The sequence below is a fragment of the Homo sapiens genome, chromosome 9, assembly GCF_000001405.40.
Source record: "Homo sapiens chromosome 9, GRCh38.p14 Primary Assembly".
NCBI lineage: Eukaryota > Metazoa > Chordata > Mammalia > Primates > Hominidae > Homo > Homo sapiens.
Genome location: NC_000009.12, coordinates 81,900,476 through 81,920,743, shown reverse-complemented (window position 1 = coordinate 81,920,743; position 20,268 = coordinate 81,900,476). Strand labels below are relative to the sequence as shown.

At 41.4% G+C, this 20,268-nt stretch overlaps 2 long non-coding RNA genes and 1 pseudogene across 5 annotated transcripts in view; 2 read left to right on the top strand and 1 right to left on the bottom strand.

Moving 5' to 3' along the window:
* Nucleotides 1–20,268, top strand: part of LOC105376105 (uncharacterized) — a 91,092-nt gene that overhangs the window by 56,346 nt on the left and 14,478 nt on the right. The gene's annotated exons all lie outside the window — the stretch shown is intronic.
* On the bottom strand, nucleotides 817–7,307 carry SPATA31D5P (SPATA31 subfamily D member 5, pseudogene; annotated as a pseudogene). The gene is made up of 4 exons (NR_026851.1): nucleotides 7,087–7,307; nucleotides 6,298–6,343; nucleotides 5,636–5,696; nucleotides 817–5,352 (listed from the first exon to the last, which is right to left on the bottom strand). The product of NR_026851.1 is annotated as an SPATA31 subfamily D member 5, pseudogene (transcript).
* Nucleotides 7,399–12,418, top strand: LOC124902187 (uncharacterized). Of its 2 annotated transcripts, none has more exons than XR_007061607.1 (2): nucleotides 7,399–9,161; nucleotides 11,959–12,418. It is a non-coding gene; the product is annotated as an uncharacterized LOC124902187 (long non-coding RNA). The 2 variants fall into 2 exon arrangements; XR_007061606.1 differs by having other exon boundaries at nucleotides 11,945–12,418.

The window sequence follows — 20,268 nt, the reverse complement described above, 5'->3', positions numbered from 1 at the left end:
TGATATGGGCATGATGGGGCATAAACCTTTTTCGACTAGCATGGTCATCCTTTCCTAGCTTCACTTTTTTCTTACTTTCTCATTCAAAGACATATTTTCCTTACTGTAAGCTATATTTTACCCTAGGAGGTAGGTGGTTGTCTGGTCAGCAGTCCTGCCACAGACAGCCAGGTGATCTTTTTGCTCTGTAAAAATGTCATCAATCCAGGTAGCATAGAGAAATACACAGGGAGGGGAACTACTTTCCCAAGTGACTTATTAGTAGAAAGACCTCAACGTTGAGGTCAAAATATGCCTCCCTAAATCATGAGCATGCCCTGCTTGTCAAATTCTTAAGCAGCATCCACAGTGTTCCTGACACCCTACCCCAACCAGCAATACCCTAAACACTCCCACCAACTTATATGATCCTGTGGTCAGTGACAACTTTTTTTAAATAGTGATTAAACCACTATTTCTGAAAAATGTATCTGTCCTTCACTCTCTCTTCAGATATGGAAGGGCTGCCTTCCTTACTGCTCTAAAGGATATGAAGCAGTGAATGGGGAGGAAGGTGCAGGCTGCCATACGGTATCAGTAAGTCTAAAGCAAAGAGGTAGAAAAGAGCCCATCTCCTCAGACTTGATCAGGGAGAAAAGGGGCTTTTGGAGGCACATGATACTCATTCCTTCACACTAGTTCCAGGGGATTGGTCACCTTTTAAAAGTCAAAAGAGGGAGTCAGTAAGAGCTGAGCTAACTCCTACCTTTCCCTAAGCACAAGCTTGGGTTACCCAAAACCTATACCTCCCAACACAGTACACAGAAAAGACACCAATCTTATTAGAACATTTATTAGGGAGAATCAAGATTCTCAACAAGTAGTGAATTATTTTGTGGGGGGAGATTTGCCTCCCTGCAAATACTTCCAATGCATTTTGTGTCCAGTTAGTAAAGGCACATCACTGAACACAGTGCTTTTGCCACTAATTGGGACAGCTGGACACACCAGGGTGACTTGACGCTGACAAGTGGGGTTTAGATGTGGTACAGGATCCCTGTGGGGCATGGATTGGGGATGCCTTTGATACAATATCTTCCCCTTAAATGCCTCAACTTCCTGGGGCTGTCTGTCCTTGTCTATGATCTGTCTAATCCTTGTAGGATAATTCTGTCCAACAAAGATAGCTTGTTGGCTGCAAGATTTGGTACATGTCACTTTGCGGGAGGGAGCTGTGTAGTTGCGGGGATAGCCCTGGAAAGGCTCTGCTCTGACCTGCACTTCTGGGTTGTGCTGAGCTTTCCCAAGCTCCACTGGGAAGGAAAAGGGTTCTTAGGGACAGGTGATATCTATCCCATGGCTATGCCCCAGCTTTTCTTCTAGGAACTCCCCAGTGTCTTTCCTAATTTTCTGAGCTTCAGTAGCACCAGTAAAAGCAGCTCTACTTGTAACTCGACTTCTATTCTGCACAGATGATGACAGGGAGCTACCCTTTTCCCAAGAACTTTCTTGTTCTTCACACATTATGCTAGGTTTATTAAACCACTGCAATAAGGTCTGCATCCATTTTCTGAAAAGGTTTTCAGAAGGAGGCTGTGTTTTCAAGGTTGGGGAAGATTTGCTCCCAGGCACCTCTCCTGATGCCTTGTTATGAACAGGGAGGCTCTTTCTAGTGAGTTGGGATGTCCCCAGCCCTGCATCCCCTCCACCAAGCTCTCCTCCATTGGGTCTTAAAGGGCTCACTCTCTTTGCAGCTGGTGAAAAATTCTTAACTTGGCATTTCTGTAAGACATGCGTAGGGACCCTGTGCTCCTGCTGCTGTGCCACACGGATTCCTCTGACCTCCAAGTGGACATGCAGCACCTGGGAAGTTCCCAAGTCCTGATTCGAGATGCCCTGGGCATGAGTCAGTAAGTCCTTGGAACTCAAGTTATCTAAGGCAAGAGACATGCCAGTGAAATGGCTCTGAGGTTGGCTATGCTTCCTCTGGACCAACTTTAACTGGCTCAACATCTGATTTTTAAGATATGATGATTTAGGAGTTTGAGGAACTGATATTCTTGGTGGGAAAATTTCAGTTTCATGAGAAGTGCTTCTTTTCACGTTTGTCACTAAGCAGCTTCCTGACTTGCTGGTTGTCAAGTTGTTCCTAGTTTGTGATTGAAGAGTACAGATCTCCTCTTCCTTGAACATCTCCTTCGACCCATTGGTGACAGGAAAGGTCTTTCCACTGCCCTGAAGCCTGTTAACATTATTACTGGCACTCTCTCTCTTATCCCTTGAATCACGGCCAACTCCAGCTTGCAGTATGGGCAGCTCTGCGCTGCATCTACTGGCAAGTATAGTCTGTTTCTGACTGACTTCGTCTATGATGCTGTATGTGGGGGGCAGAAAAGTCTGTCTGCCATCCTCAGTTGTCCAGACACTTTCTGTAAGATCCTCGTCAGTATCAGCGAATTCTCTTCTGAGGGTCCCCTGCTTTTCTTGATCAACAGGTGAGGTGACGAGGTGAGGATGACCCAAGATGGAGAATGAGCTTGTTGTTTCTAATTTTTCTCCTTGAAAATATGTAGTGCCTCTTCTAAGGGGCGTGGAGGCACCATCTTTGGCATCTGTCTCTATAAGGTCATGGTCAATATCAGAAAATTGTCTTCTCAGGGTCCCCTGCCCTTCTTTGCCAATAGGTGAGGAGACAGGCTGAGGATGATTAAGGACAGGGACTGAGCTTGTTGTTCCCAACTTTTCTCCTTGAAAAGTGCTTCGTCTACAAGACTTAGAGACCCCATCTTTGGAATCTCCCTGAGAAATAAAGCTGGCTGAGGAGGGAAGGTAGAAATGGGAAAAGGAATTGGAAATATCCTCTTCCGATTTGAAGATTTCTATGGATTCAAGGACCTTGCAGGGAAGGCCCCACAGCATCCTCATACGGAAAGTTTTAATATGGGCTTCCAACATCTTTTGTTTGTTGGAACTAAGGAAGGAAATCTCCTGGGAAGTATCAACGCAGTGGTCCTCACTCACCAATGCTACCAGATTTTGATGTTTAATTTGGCTTTGGGATTTCTCAGGAAGAGACATTGTCTGCTTGACTGAGTGCCATGAACTATGCACAGTCCCAGGCATTCGACCCTCATTGATTTTCTCAAATTTCTTGCTCAAACGTACTGTCAGGGCATTTTCAAGTTGTTTCTGACCTAGTCTCACCCCTGAGTCATTCCCTGACAGATGCATCATATGAGTTTCTAGGTCTCTCTCAGAGTTAGACCTCAGATCCTCGTCTGAAGATGTCTCTGGATCATGCAATAGGTGATCTTTTGGGGCAGTCTCCTGGCTGTATCCCTGATAATTCCCCACATTCTCCATGGAAAGCATATTTGAGCTCCTCTCGTGGAAGCTTCTAGGGAAGCTTGATGCGGACTTCTTTAGAACATTGCACCTCTGACCCTCAACCAAAGAGATATTTAACGGTCCATGAATGCTGTCTGACACAGATAGCTCTGAAATTTTGCTCTGAGGACGTAGCAATGACAGAGACTCATGGATTCTGCGGGGCAGGCCCCATCTGCGCTGGATGAGCCTCTTTCGAATGTGTTGCTCTAGTTTCTTCCTTACCTCAGAGCTGAGTGGAAAATCTCCAGGAATGATGGAGATGGGAACATGGACCTTGAAAGACTTTCTGACCAATACAGCATTGGTACCTGGAGGACAAAAGTCTTCCTGGGATTTTTGAACCACAGAGGGTAAACCCCACACACTTTCCTGCACTTTCTGCAACACGTTCTACTCCAGATGATTAATTTCAGATGGCATAAGAGACCGTGCCTCATCCTGGGGTCTATGAAAACACAATCCACACACCTAAACAGAAATAGAGGACTAGGTAGTAGGGCTGGGATTGGAGATTGATATTGAGCCTGGGACTGGACCTGAGTGAGATGTGGGGACTGACCTCTGGGCAGGGTTTGAGGCGAGGGTAGAGGTTGGGTACTAGGCAAGGACAGAGTCTGGGGAGGGGGAAGTACTGGGGATTCATGGGATATAGATGTATTTGTAATGCCATTGAAGAATACAAACATGGAGGAATGGCCACGTTGGACAAGAATAGTAGGATGCAGAGACTCACTGTGCAAAGATGGGAGACCCCAGAAGAGCTGGACATATTTTTGCTCCAAATGGTCCTCAAAACACTTAGAATATGGGGGCTGCTGATGGATGTGCAGTTGTTCTAGTCTGTCTTTACTGGCCCCAAAAAGGAAGGGAGGTTGCCAAGTCTTGCTTATCTGCAATTGAGGCTAACATTTTCTGTGAAGAATTTAGTTGATAGTTTGGCCTACGTTGTTTTGGAAAAGATTCTGCTTTATTTTCATTTTCTTTCCACATCAGGAAATCACTCCTTTTTTTGACTTGTCTCTCCAGGAGTGCCAGAATGTCATGACTGATAAATGAGAGGTTAATAGGCTCTGTGAGGTTGACCACAGAGTGCCCTCCTATAGTGATCTCAGAAGAATGAAGGGTAAGAAGCTCTTGCATGAAATCATATGGTGCAATAGTGGAAGGAAAAAAGTCCTTGTCATGAGGCTGCCACCAGGAGAATTCTGAAGATGCAGGGCATGAATGTCAATGCCTCTGATTGTTGGGGCACATGTGGATGATCCACCAGAACTACCTAGAGATAACATCTCCGGAAAAGGCTTCAATACTGTGGGACTTGCTTTAGACTGAGTTACAGGGCAGTCCTCCAGTGGTAAAGCAGATGGGTTTGGTGGTTCGTGATGCCAAGCACATGAATCAGTGGCATTCATGGCCTGGGAAATATTTGATAAGGGGTTCATATCTTGGGATAGGGTGGAGTCAAATAAAAAGACAGTGTTCAGAGACAAACTGGCCTCAGGTTGGAGACTGGGCTCCGCTCTCTGAATGTGATGCGGTGGGAAAAGGGGAGAGGGAAGCTGTTGGGGTAGGGAATGGTCTATGGGGAACTTGGAATCCAAGGGAGAAACAGGCTGTGGTGGCAGAGGGTCCCTCAGTGGTGAGGGTGAAAATAAGTCAGCTAAGGTGGTGATCAGGTCAGGGGAGAGAATTAAGTGGGGCAGTAGAGAAGGCTTAGGCTGCGGGGACAATATTAGGTCTTCTGGAGTGGTTGCTGAGGGGGTGGAAGCCAGAGTGAATGATGACTCAGTCGCAGAAGCTGAAGAAGCCAAAGGGGACACAAAGGGAACAGCATCTTTCAGGGACTCCCAAGACAGCAGTCGCTGGATATCAGCAGTTGCTCTGTTACACACCTGACAGACGGGGTCTGGGCATAACAGTCGATGAAAGCGGGTGGTATCATGATGCTGACCCAGGGGACTGCAGGAAGCAGGAGGTCCAAAGCTGCAGCCAGGACGAGAACAAAGAAAGGAGGGTCTGTTAGCCTGGCAGGGGTGGGGGCCCCTGAATCCTGCTACCTGTTTCACATTGCCCCCCACCCATGACCTCACTATGCACTCTGTAGCCTCTCCCCAGTGCATTCAATTCACATACCCATTCCTGTGGGGACCCACGCCCACAACTATAGCAGGCTACAAGGAATCCCTGAAGTGAATAGAACGTGCTAAAAAAAAAAAAAAAAAAAGGGGGGGGTGGGAACAAGGACAGAAGGGGAATGATTAATCACCTTTTCAGAATAGAAAGCAACTTCCTTTCCTCTTCGGCTTCTCTCTGGAAACTTTTCCGGTCTGGGAAAGCAGAACAGTATGTTATATGCAATGAAGGTAGAGGCACATGGCTCATACAGAAGTCACTCTGTGGAAGACCCTTGGGATATTAAACTCTGATAGTCCCAAGAATCAGTAGAAAAGGGCAAATAGTCATTGATAATATTCACAAGTTCACATGTGTATGTGGCATCATTAGTAAAGTCCTTTCACATACATTACCCCATGTGATGCTCAAAACCACCACGTGAAACATAGACATCAGTGGTTACCTCCAGGAGGAATCTGAGCATCAAGGAAGTCAAATTACTTATGCAAAGTTGTGAGACAGAAGCTCTGACTCCAAGTCAACCAGTAGTCCTTCCTCGATATCTAACTTGGCTGCCTATTGGGCAACACTCATTGCTCAGGTCCATCACTAAGTCTTGCCCATGGATGGGCAGAGCAGGGCCTCTGAGCGGTGTCTCAGGTCTTATCGCTTTCCCATGAGCCTGTCTTCTGAGGGCTCTGTTTTCTGAGACTGTATCTAGTAACTGACATTCTAAGAAGTCATGGGACTGAGTCCTCATGAAAGAGACAGGAAGGGTCACCCTGAAGCTCAGATAGAGCAGGTCGACATTACCTTTATATGTCCCACCTTTCTTTCTCCTCCTGGCTCTGCCCTGATGCTGAGAATGAAAGAAAGATAATGAGAGGCTAGGACTCACTTATCTCACTCCTCTAGGAAGCACATTCATTCATTATACAAGAATAATATGACTCTGTAATTAATAGAAAAGTGTTCCTGTTATCAATTTTTGAAGGTGATAAAATATTTCCAATTTTTCCTTCTCTGAAAGACTCAAAGAGGATTTTGTCTGTGCAAACCACACTTGATGTATTCAGTTAGCAGTCCTCAAGGAGGGCACAGACTCAGAGGCCAACAGTCACATCTGTGCTCCCTCACAGGACAAGTGTCCCGCAGACAGAACTCTGGTTCCAGCCTCTGCTCAGAGACTATCAGCATTACTCCTCTTGTCAGCCCAACATGAAGGAAGACTTGGTCAAGTGACAGGTGACATGGGAATCTGACTCATGATCAAACTTTAGGAGAGACTATTCTCCTTCAGAGAGCCCACATTTTCTAAATAATTCAATCCAGGACCACAGAATTATTGTGTTTTGGATTTTATCCTGTAACTCTTCACCACAGCCAGATAGGTAGTCTATGAGCTTCATATGGAAACCTTAGTCCTTCTGAACCCCTACATCTGCCCAACCTCTTCCATAGAAGAATGAAGTTCTATCCTCTCTTCAGACTTCCCATCTAAGACATCTCTCTGAACCACCCAAATTTATTTAGAAATGTGGAAATGGGATTGGGAAACAACAAGAGGGAATCTCTCTTGGGTGTTCATCCACAGTTCCTTACCTTTTGGATATCATTATTTTTCCCAAGGGTTGACAAACACAGCATCAATACCACATAGAAAAAGTACAGCATAAACAACCCCAACCCACTCAAGTAGATGCAGTTGTGGTCAATATCCATCCAAACAAGGTGAGTCAGGGCTAAGCCCTGTCTCAGTATAGCTGTTTAGAAAACAGAGGATATTCTCCATGGTTTGAATAGCATGGCTTCCTAAGGCAACTGAGTGTTGTAGGTGCCCAGTCTTAACTATAGGCCCAGACCTGCATCACAGAGCATGGAAGAGTCATAGACGGTTTCTGAGGGTGGGGGTAGCAAGAAGAGAAGGGTGTGTCCACAGCCCTGCCTTTTACCCGTCCAGCTGTCTCCACCCCTCCTGGGCCCTCTAGGTCCCTCTGTCCTACCCTGACACTCTGTTTCCCAACTCCATCCTTTCTTCATGTCATATATTTACCTTAGTCGAATTTTCGGTTTGTTCCAACAGTAAACCAGGTATTATCCGAGTCCCCCTTTACTGTTTGGAGCCCTTAACTTGGACCCCACCAACTACACTGCCTTGAAAGCCTGAAATACTGCCTGGAATATTTGCTGTACCCAGGCTTTGCTACTCTCAGGATCACATATGTCCTCAAATCCGTCTTATCTACAGAATGTTTTTGCCTTACATTAACCCAGATATGAAACTTTAATTTCCTTTATACTTACTTCATTTTGTGAATGTTGAACATTACACCAACAAGGAGACAGGAGTCCAGCTCAGATCTGTCCCGTGTGCTGGCTTTCATGCAATCTTTTTATTAGAAAAGGTTTAGGAGGTGGCCTCTGGGATTAGTAGGTGATCTGTGGAAGGAAAGAGGAGGTCTGGGACATCCTCAGGCATGCACAGTTTTGTTTAACGCTACTTCATGGATCGCATGTGCACATTTTGGGGGAGTTAGTTTGAAACATGGTAGAAATTTGGCCTATGACTTCAGCAAGCCTGTTCTGGCCAACTCCAGTTGGCCTTATTAGTTTTAATCCATTTTAGCCGGTTTTTTAATCTTACAAGCAGAGACATTTTTGGTGTTTTAGCAACTTGTTGTTTAATCTGCTATCCTGTAAACTGATAATTTTTGTTAGTCATTGGCTTTTTAACTCTCTGGGGCATGGTTTAACTAATAATTCATTATTTAACATCTTCAAAACTAAAACGAGTATAAAATAAACATATATAATTAAAACTTCAAGGTTCTTGGGGGTGAATTTATAACACTTATTTTTCTGAAGTTAGTGAAGTTTAAACTGTTCAAAGACCTTTGGAACATGCTCTATACACAAACACACATACGCATCGACCCAAAAAGAAGAATTCAGGCAAAATCAATATAAATAGAGAATTCATTTGGGTGAAGCTTGAGGATCGCAACCTGGGAACACAGATGCAAGTCACCCTAAATATACGCTGTAATTAGCACCAGTTACAAATGGGTTTTTAAAGTTGAAAAAGCGGACAAGGAGTGGGCTGATACAAAGTTGTTATCAGGAATTCTCATTGGTTTACAGAAGCGACATTGATTAGTGATTGGCTATACTTTGTTAAGCTATAGAGTGTGGGTTATATTGTCAAATGTGGCATTATTTGGTTAATGTCTAGCTACACGTGGCAATACCAAGCAGTTTCAAGAGATGAATACATAGCTCAAGGAGGAAGTAGGGCCATGATTGCTGTCTCATTTTAATGTCTATCTAGGCCTGATAACTTAAAAGGACTCACATTCCTCAGATAAAATTCCTTTCTTTATAGACACACCCACGTACCTATAGTGTGACAAATCAATCAGTATTTTCAAATCCAAAATCAATTAGTTCCTCTTTTATTTCAATCTCTTATTTGTCATTTGGACCCACATTTTCTAACTGTACCTCAAATACACACAGTCCCAGCCCTCCTCATCAGTTTCATAACAAGTCTATGACTCCCTTCAACCAGATACAAGTTACAGTGTCCTTAGCTATTGTGATGTGCCCTGTGCTGTAGCTCAGTAGCTAAGGTATTGCCCTTTCACACTGGCAGTCAGATTTGATTCCCTACTTAGAAAGTAAGTTCTTTCTGGTTTAATATCTACATGACCTTGTATAGTCTCTTCTCCTCCACAGGTGTCTTAAATTTTCCTTTCTCTGAGCACCTGGGAGGTTACTTTCAGTAAAGTTCAAAAGCCAGAAATATCAGCCATTTGGCCTGGCTAAAATAAGGTAATAAGAAATTTTAAAAGACTTTATTAAAGAGTACTATGGTTAAAAGTCGGCTTACTTAAAAGTGGATATTTAAGCTCTAAAAGCCTGGACTCCTTGGGAAAAACAGGAGGAACCAGAGACCCCTTTCTTGGCCCTGTTCTTCCAAGGACTCCACCATAAAGCCAGTAAGCAATTGAGAAACTTAAAAACTGGCAAATGAAAAATCTTACAATTATTGTAGTAATCTTCTTCTCTCTGTCTGTGTAATTATACATGTGTTGTGTGTAATGTTCATATAAAAGAGCTCTAATTAATTGGCTTAAGCAAAAACAAGCACTTAAATCAAATATTTTGAAAGCAAAATAAAAACTGTAATGCCTTTTAGTTCATGTAACTTTAGTAATCTTTGGGAAATAAAAACAGCTTTAAAGATTATTGATAAAATAAAGACATTTTGGCCAGGCGCAGTGGCTCACGCCTGTAATCCCAGCACTTTGGGAGGCCGAGGTGGGCAGATCACGAGGTCAGGAGATCGAGACCATCCTGGCCAACATGGTGAAACCTCATCTCTGCTAAAAATACAAAAAAATTAGCTGGGCATGGTGTTGGGTGCCTGTAGTCCCAGGTACTCTGGAAGCTGAGGAGGGAGAATGATGTGAACCCAGGAGATGGAGCTTGCAGTGAGTCGAGATCATGCCACTGCACTCCAGCCTGGGTGACAGAGCAAGACTCCATCTCAAAAATAAATAAATAAATAAAATAATGACATTTTGTCTCAATTATGCAGGTCAGATATTAGGTCTGCTAAATGCTTTAAGGTCATAAACTACTTTGACTTTTGAAAATTGTTCAATTTATTTTGGAGATGTTATATTCTAAATAAGGCCTGGGGATTTATGGAATTAACCATGCCCCCTAGCTATGCAAAGAACGTTATAAAAAAAGAGATTTTATATAAGAAAGGATGTTGTATGGTAAATTCTTGTCCTGAAGTAAAATGACTGGTTGTTTAAAAAGAGGGATATTTAGGGCAAGTCAGAAAGTCTAAATATGTTGTACATGGTCTGTGTAAGTCATGAAAGAATTTATAAAAAAGAATTTATGCCAGAAATGTCGTACAATTTAAAGGTGATTAGGCCTCCTAAATGCTTCACAAAATGCCACTATGACTCTTAACTGTACAGCCTGCAAGCTTTACAGCTTGGTAAGGCCTGGAACACATGTAGTTAGATGTTGGAAACAGTCAGGCCTTATCTGCATTTCTGTCTGGGTCCCAGGCTCCACACCTAGTACATCATTGAAATCCCTTACTTACCAAGGCTTTCACCAAAAGTAAAAGTTGCTAAGAGTTAACATTGTAATATGTAATTGAGACTGCTGAAAAAATAGGTTTAGATTCAAGATGTGTAAGGAGAATGAAATGTGTTTTTTATAAGAGATTATATGAAGGTATGAGAATGTAAATTTTTTGCCTAGGTTAGAGGGTTAAAGGATTGTTTTAAATTAAATAAAGCTAAAGGTTAGAACAAGTTGTGGAAAGTTTATGAAAAATTGATTGTAAGAGATTCTATGTGTGAACAAATTGGCTAAAGTTAAAATGGCATTATTCAGTTTTTTCTATAAATTGGACATTGGAATAAAAGCACAACAGAGTTTTCTTAGAACGTTGTTCTGCTCTGAGAAAAAAAAATTGTAAAGGGTTGTAAAAGGCTTATAAAAATTTTACTTTATGGTCAAATTAGTTAAAACTGAATAGATTTATAAGATGTTATTAAAAACTAGCTTTAGCATTAAAAATACACTAATAAAAACATAAAATTTGGATTTTCTCTTTTAAAAAGGATTTTTATGTAGTATTAAAAGATGAAAGTTTTTTGTTTACCTTTTAAGTAAACTACAAAGGACAAAGCGGGGAAGGGAAGGAAAGAAGAGAGAGTCAGTTGGCCTCATGCTATCTTCATTGGGTCTTGTTTGGGAAGCTGAGTCTCTTCTCTATCAGAATGATGTTTTTCCTTTAAAAAAAAGTTTTCAGTCATCTTTTTGGCTAAATGAATGACTTATGGTAACCTAAGATTCTATTTTGTAATATCCAACATTTTAAACCTGTGGTATTTAATAAACCTTTCAAAACCAAGCTCTGGATTATCATGCTAAATCAGCCAATACTAAAATTGTTTAAACATACAATTTGAATGAACTCCATGGTCTAAGTCAAATTATCTATGATAACCCATTAGTTGTCAGTGCTATGCACCCAAATTGGAGAAACAACTGGTATTCAAGAGGACATAAGACCATTGTTAAGCATGGACTCATGAAGAAACAGTACAGCTGCCTTATCCTTCCTGAGTCCTTAAAGCTTTTGTTATTAAAGGCTCTGCATTCCATGACTCATCATGGAAGAGATAAAATAATCCAAATTGAAGATATTGATGTGATGATTTATCAATTGCAGAAATAGCTTAAAACCAATGTTTGGTTCCATATTCCTGGGAAGACAATCAAAGCTTCAGGTACCTGATGGGCCATATAAACATTTATAAAGGGGTTTCATGCAATTGTCATTTTCAATGCATATTTTCTTGTTGTATAAAAGCTTTCCCATGCAAGAAGGCTGATGTTATAACAGTAGATTATTATGCTACAGTGTATTTTCACTAGGTAAAGAAAGCTCTTTATGGTTCACTGAGGACAATCCCTTCACAATCTAGAACCTGATTGGATCTTCTGAGAATATCAGAGAAAGACTGTCCTTGCCATCCACACTACAGCAAAACTGGAGCCTTGAACTTTGGGGTCATAATCTCACAACTGAGAAGAGTTCCTCCACACTCCTGGAACTGTACCTCCATTGGTACCCTTAAGGTAAAACTAACCAGGAAAGTTTCTCCCCAGAAGAAGATGGCATCCCTGATGTGAACAGCTTTTCCCAAGATCACGGATCAAGACTTCTACTATCACAAGACTCTTATCTTTGAATATTTTTTCTGTGTTTATGCCTCTATGAACAATAGAAATGAAAAGGAGGTCTATTATGTAAACTTACAGGGTAAACTTTTATTTGTGAATGATTTTGCAGCCAGCCTTATATATGAATAAACTTATACTTTAATTGATAGAAGATGAAGGCCCAATGTAGGTGAGAAAGTTTAGTGGTTCATACATTGCTTTATAATCAGTCAAAACTCCTCTTAACACACATCATGGATTAAAGAGAACATTGCCATGAGGCCTTCACTCTTCTAGAAGGACATCATTTGTTAGTTCCTTTTTCCATGACTTAGAATAAAAGAAGCAATAATTAGAAATGTCTCCCTCGTAATAGGCTTTACAGCAAATTCTACTTTAAAGGCTATCATTACACAACAGACTAAATTCTCTCCTGAAAGTTATGCTAAATAATAGAATTGGCTAAACAGAAAAGTGCCTTTGCAGCTGCTGACACTTGTGGCCTATGGAGAAACACATAAAATGTAGATTATAAAAATTCAGTTTCAAGGGATTAATGAAAAATCCACTTAGTCACATGAGTAGACTCTTCACCTAGCTCATTCTTTAATCTATTTAATTTTATGTCCTTTGGTTTATGGGGGCCCTGGGTAAGGGTCACACTCCAAACTCTTGGTATTATCCTCCCAGTAGTCATAACAGTCTCCCTGGTGGGGTGTATTCCCTCAAAAGTTTTAAATGTTTGCACACAGCCATCTCTAGAACACCAAATGTTCTCTCTTCAACTGGAATGGCAAAAGCTGAAAGAAATGTGTGACTACGAGGACACAGTAACCTATGAATAACATGCTGAGACCAGAAACCAAAATGATGGTAACTGAGAGTGGCACTAAGGCCCTAAGTTTTGGTCACATTCTCACTTAAGTGAGAACCTGGCCAAAAGGGGGGAATTTTTTTTTAAATAAAATTATGGGAGGCCATTATTTTGGACTGACCTCATGCACTTGGCCCCACCAAACCAAACCAAACTAAAATGAAGTCACTCATGCTAAATGTGACATAATCAAACTAAGGCTTAAAAGAAAATTGATCCTATAACAGACAAGGTTTTGCTTTTCTCCTATAAACAGGATGCTCCAGTGTAAGGAGGTTCCCTCTACTCTGTCTTTATTCTCTCCTTGCAAAACCTACTGTTCTACTCTTTCCCAGTGGGTTTCAAAACCATATAAGTGCATTTACAATCGTGATAGTAACATCAATGACTAATGTTATGGACAATCTCTCAAAATTGAGAAAATGACCAAAAGGGGGGAATTTTTAAAGCAAACTAAATATGGCCTGAGAAGGACTCTGCACCTCTGTATTTGAGTCCTCATAGATGAACTGTAACCTAGCTTAATAGTCAGAAAAATTTAAAACCTAACTCAATAGTATGCACATGTAACAACAGCTGAGTGTTGGCCAATCCCAGCGGACATACTTCAACCACTCATAGCCTGCTGAATGTTCAAACTGCATTCAAATAAGGCAAATGCCAAGCTATAACCAATCTCACTGTTTCTGTACCTCACTTCCAATTCCTGTATGTCATTTTACCTTTTTTGTCTATAAATTTGTTTTAACCACGAGGCACCCCTGGAGTCTCTGTGAATCTGCTATGATTCTGGAGGCTGCCCAATTCATGAATCATTCATTGCTCAATTAAATTCCTTTAAATTTAATTTGGCTGAAGTTTTTCTTTTATCAAAGTAGAGTGTTCATTTGGGTCAAGCTTGAGGATTACAACCTGGGAACACAGATGCAAGTCGACCTAAATATACACTCCAATTAGCAGCAGTTACAAGTGGGTTTTTAAAGTCATAAAAGGGGACAAGGAGTGGGCTGATACAAAGTTGTTATCACGAATTCTCATTGGTTTACAGAAATGACATTGGTTAGTGATTGGCTATACGTTGTTAAGCTATAGGGGGTGGGTTATATTGTCAGGTGTGGCATTATTTGATTAATGTCTAGCTACATGTGGCAATACCAGGCAGTTTCAAGAGATGAATACATAGCTCAAGGAGGAAGTAGGGCCATGATTCCTGCCTCATTTTAATGTCTCTCTAGGCCTGATAACTTAAGAGGACTCACAGTCCTCAGATAAAAGTTCTTTTCTTTACAAACACACCCACACACCCATCCTGTGACAAATCTATCAGTATTTTCAAATCCAGAATCAATTAGTTCCTCCTTTTATTTCAATCTCTTGTCATTTTTACCCCACATTTTCTAACTCTACCTCAAACACAACCAGGCCCAGCCCTCCACATCAATTTGGTAACAAGTATGCAACTCCCTTAAAGCAGGGATAGGTTACAGTGCCCTAAGCTATTGTGATCTAAGAGACCAAAATAGATGCCCCTTTATCAACCAAGACAGATCCTTAGGTTAAGGAAACAAAGTTACCGATGGGTCAAGGGTTCAGGGCCTGGATGGCATGGCAAATTTCTAACTTTGTATAAATAGACTGCCTCTAACCAAACGAGCTATCAGCTCTGATTGGACAGAGGACCGGCCTTACAAACGTCTTTTTCTGATAAGCTACTAATATTAGACTGCCAGTTTCTACCAGCTTATAGAGGCTGCACACGAACCACATTTGCATCCTGTAGTTCACCTTATGATGTAAAGGGCCAAATTCTACCTCATTTTAGTGCTAAACCCCCACTCCAAAGTCAACATGGGATGTATGTTACATATGTTTACTCATTATGGTGTGCTCGGCTCCCGCATAAATATATATAGCTTTTCCCCCAAACTTGTTGAATATGTGTGAATATGAATATAAAACCCAACCTGTCCTTCCCCTATTCCAACAGACAGCACCTTCATTCCACAGTGGATGCTTTCCCCTCCTGGATTGCAAATTGATAAGAGCAATGAGGCTCTCCTTTCTACTATTTAACCATCTTGGTAGTCTTTTGGATGATACTATTGATCCCATCAGTGTTTGGTGGCAGAGTGAGACTTAGGTGTGTCAAAGACTTAGAGCAGAACGTAGTCTTAAGCAACCTCACCTGACTACACTGTGGGCCATGTACATGTGATCTTTTCCTGAGTGCCTTGGTATCCAAAAAAACTTGAGAACAACTGCTCTATATTCTATATAATTACCCGTGCAAATATCCAAATACCAACTGCCTGTCATACTTTATTCAGGCTCCTCTTGTCAGGTTTGAATGATCCCAATATCCCCCATCCCTAACCCGTCTTCCTACACATTCTTTTCTAAACTCTATCATGACAGCTGTCCTCTGAACTGTCTCTTAATTTCTCATGTCTTTCTTAAACTATGAAGCCCTTTATCTGACACCCATGGGCCACCACTGCTATTTGATCCCTTTTGAAGGGGTAAGACAGCCTTCAAGCCAGGCCAGGTCTCCTTTCAATTATACAGGAGAAGGTAACCTGCCTTGAGGATAAAATCTGCCAAGAGATGCCCCTTCCTCCTCTCTTTGATATGCAGTCTCAGTCAAGCTTTCATCTAATAAATATTTACTGCTGGAAACTAGGAGACACAAGCATCTGTAAGCCACCGGCTCTGCCCTTGACCTCCTGGTGCAGTTGGAGCAATTAGTTCTACACAGCTCAAGATCTATACAAACGTAGAGGAGAGTTCCCCCGCCTCCAGCATTTACAATCGCCAAACGATCTCTGGAACAGATCAGATACTGTGGGTCATAACTCCTCAGACACATCATGCTCTTTAGCAAGAAATCCCTGCATGTCCACCCTCTCCAATTTTCTGATACCAATTAATAATTCTTTGAGAAGATGGTCAAAGAACAGCTTCTCTCTTTTAAAATGTCATTCATTAGCTAGATATCTTTACAAACATACGTGTGCCCACAGTTGAAAGCTTCAAGAAGTTTCAGTAAAAAGGCTTTTCCCCAAATGCTAATAAGATTCCCTTTCTGAACCTGGTAGAAGCTCCTTCAAAATTTAAAGGAACAAGAGACTAGAGATATATTTATTTTCTTTTTTTGTACCACCAACAGTAAATTCCATTGACATTGAGTGGCAGTGCTTCACACCACTTATCCTTTCTGCACTAGCACCAACTAGAAATAATAGATTTGTCTACCTTATAAAGAGGTCTACTTCCAGCCATCTCAGTGCATTTTCACAACCTATGAGGTTAGCAGGTCAGGTATTATGCCTGGTTTTTTTTTGTTTTTTTCCCTTTTAATTTGCTTTTATTACAACAGGCACTTAGATTTTCTCTGAATATTGTGCCTATTTTATCAATGAATGCAACCAAAGCTCAGAGAGGGTAAGTGACTTCTCTAGATCAGACAGCAAATAAGTATTAGAGCTCTAATGAATAAATTCTCTACATTCTCGATGCTTCCACTTTAAACAATAGTAATATGTAATTTTGTAAAATTAAAAGTATCCCCTAATCCTAAAATTAAAGCAGTTGTATAGCTAAGAATATTCACTTTGCCCATTAAATGCTGACAAATTTGAGAAGTAATGAAAAACTATTTTGGTACTCTATCACCTCTTAGGTAACTTTTTCTTTCCACACTTAGCATCATTTTCTTTATAGGGTTTTTTTTTTCCTATCCTCTTCTTAAAACTTGCTTTCAAGAACTATGTTACATATGACTCCCATTAATGTATAAAAGTTTAAAATATCATTCCTCCCAGGAAAACATTTCACACATTCTACATGTATCTACCTCCATGCCTTGTAATAAGCTCTTACAAGAGCATTTTAGGCAGCCTTTGGGAGGTGGCAGAGGTGGCTTCTGGTAGAGTGGGACTGTCTCACCACTACCCCATGACATCTTCCCAATTTACCTACATCACCACCCAGAAGTCTGTTCTTGGATTTCACACTGCACTTGGTTATATTGTCTCCAAGGAGGAGTCTTTTCCAAAAACGCTACTACAGTAATATGCTACCATTTGAGGATACTCAGTATACATGGCAATAAAGTTACATTTTGTCCAAGCTTGTTGCTCTCTGAGATTTTTGTAGTACAACCAACCATATTAGAATCTTTATGAAATGAGAGCTTTGGGGTCTAAATGCACTTTTCATCAAGTCTCTGGGTGCCTCACTTTGCCCTCTTGCCAACACTCTCAAACTCACTGCAAACTCTGCCTCCCGTGTTCGCGCCATTGTCCTGCCTCAGCCTCCTGAGTAGCTGGGACTCAGGCTACTGCCAGCACGCCCGGTTAATTTTTGTATTTTTAGTAGAGATGGGGTTTCACCATGTTAGCCAGGATGGTCTCGATCTCCCCACCTCGTGATCTGCCCTCCTCGGCCTCCCAAAGTGCTGGGATTACAGGCCTGAGCCACCACGCCCGGCCTTGTGTGTCATTTTTTTTCGTTGATTCATTTTTTTTGTATTTTACACAAGTATCAATCCACAGTGGATGCAGGGGTGGGGAGTCCTTCACCACAGATAGTTTTAGAATCTGTGGCTTAATGTACATGCTCCACTCTGAAGCGTTGGTGTGTGGTTAATTTTATGAGTTAACATAAGGGAAAGAAGAATTTGCCCCTTTTTTCTACCTTCCTGCCTGAGCTGGGACATCAATCTTCTCCCGCCCTCAGACTGAGACTTACACCATGGGCCCCTTTGGTTCTCAGGCCATAGCTTATATGTATCTTACTGGTTCTGTTTTTCTGGAGAACACTGACTAATACAGTAAGGGTGTGTCAGGATCCGGGAAGCACATGGGGAGAATGCTGGGGAAACCTTTCCCTCTGGCTATGAGAAAGGACTAAAACAAATGTCCACTATAATCCTGGGGCTTAATTTGGAGAGGGAAAGGACTCTCCCAGACTTATTTTCTCCCTCCTATTTTCTCATGCTTTCCTCCACAGTGACCCATCCTTAGTCCGAGTCTAGTAAAAATTTACTCTGGAAAAGCTTTGGCTATGGCCATTATAATAAGCTAAACATTACATGCCCATTCACCCACCTTCCCATTGGAACTTTATTGCTAGAATCAAAGTATCCAAATGGCTCTCCTAAGCCATTAAGAGCAAAACAATTTTGAGCTAGACTAACATGAGGTAATTACTAAATTGAGTCAAATTCCTTTGCTATGCTCTTGGCACTGAGATATGGAAACTCCAGAGTCCTGTAAGAGGTCTGAAGAAAAAAAAAATGTTCAAGACAAATTTCAGAGATTGGAGTTTTTCATTAAAAGTACATTTTAGAAAATCGTTTTAGTTAACTTGCTAAAGAAGTCGTATGGGGATGGAAACTTGAGGTTTTCATTTCTCTTTTTGAAATAAAATGGAAACAATAAAAACACAATTAAAAATAAAATTTAAAAAACATAATCTAAGAGTATTTTGTTTCTTTTTCTAATTAAAGCTCTGCAATTAAAGTTTCACTGGAGAGCAACCTGTGTTTTTAATCTCACTGTCCATGAAGGGCTAATACGGGCAACAGGAGGTGAGATGTCTGCTACACTCTTGGAAGTGACCTTGGAGAACTTTCCAGTCTGACTGAGAAACCCCGTCTGCTTTCTCATTTTACAAATTGGAAACTGAGGCCAACATAGGTTTAATTCTTTTCTCCTTAATTCATTGTTGCATGCACGTGTGTATGTGTGTGTCTGTATGTGTGTTTTCTCTCAGGGACCTTGGAAACTGGATGTCTGCACAGTTTTAACATAATTTAGACACAGAATATGAGATTTCTTCCTTTCCAAGGCCCTAAATAACCTACCAGCACCAAGAGGAGGGCTCAAAAAGCACCAAGTTTTATCTTGTGTTGCCTTGAAATACATAATTTTTGCCTAAGTGAACTTCACAAACAATTAAGATAGTAATGCTTTTTGTGAAAATCTAACTAAAATCTATCTGAAAACGTATGAAAATCCAACTAAAACGTGACTCACATCACTCAAGATTCTCACATCTAGAAATACTTTGGGAGTATTTCCAAAGATCAGCTTTGGAAGGTAAGTGCACCTCATGTGCCAATTCTAATAATGGTGGCTATCTGGGCACATTTTAAGGATTCGGAGGGTCTGTCTGAAAAAAAAAAATGCAGTGCTCTGTTAGTGACATCTGGTAGGAGAAGGGAGGAAAGGGGTCAGACTGATAATAAACTTGCTACATATTTGCCACCTTTGGCTTGGATATTAAGGAAACTACCCAAGATTATTTTTTCTGAGCCCTTTCCAATCCTTACTCAAACAAGGTATTAAATACATCAATTTAAAAAATTGCATTCCAGTCATTTCTCAAATTTACATTCGTAGGCAAAGTCAACCAAGGGCATTCAAACAAAGGTAGAAAAAGTACAGAATACAGGCTACATTGCTTCCCAAACACTTCCTTTTTTTCATGTAATAACAAATTGCAAAACAGAATTTGCCTGCTGGAAGAGTGAGTGGAGAATGCAAATATCCCCAGCATCCTGGCTTAGCTATTTCTTGGCCATGCTGCCCAGCACCTGACACTGAGGCATCCTTAGAAATACTTTTGGGAGATTAGGTATGAAAATTCTCTTTGTAAAGCAAAAGTTACATTGGTCTCTTCCCATCCCTGGATTGCTGGAATGAGAACACAGGCAACTCTTTGGAGGGCACCAAGATCAGAGTCTGCCCTATTGACGCAGGTATTTTTGAGAATCAATCTAAAATTGTCGTTATTAAAAAATCATTCAGCCAGGCACGATGGCTCACACCTGTAATCCCAGCACTTTGAGAGTCCAAGGTGGCTTCTGCCTCCTGCCATAAAACCAGTGAGTGTCATGGTGCAGGCAAACCCTGCAGGCTGCTGAGCTGAGAGGAGGCCAGATCCCCAGAGAGCTATGCAGCAGGCACTGGGATACCCCACCCCACCTGGTCCTGCCCCCACACGGAACTCCCGTGATTAGTAGTCCATATGGATCATGTAGACCCATCCAACACACTCCTGGCCTGTGGCTCGGTGACACCCTGCACATGTATTTAACCTCCCCCTTCCTTATATCAGATGTTAAGTGATCAGGTCTGTGGCCC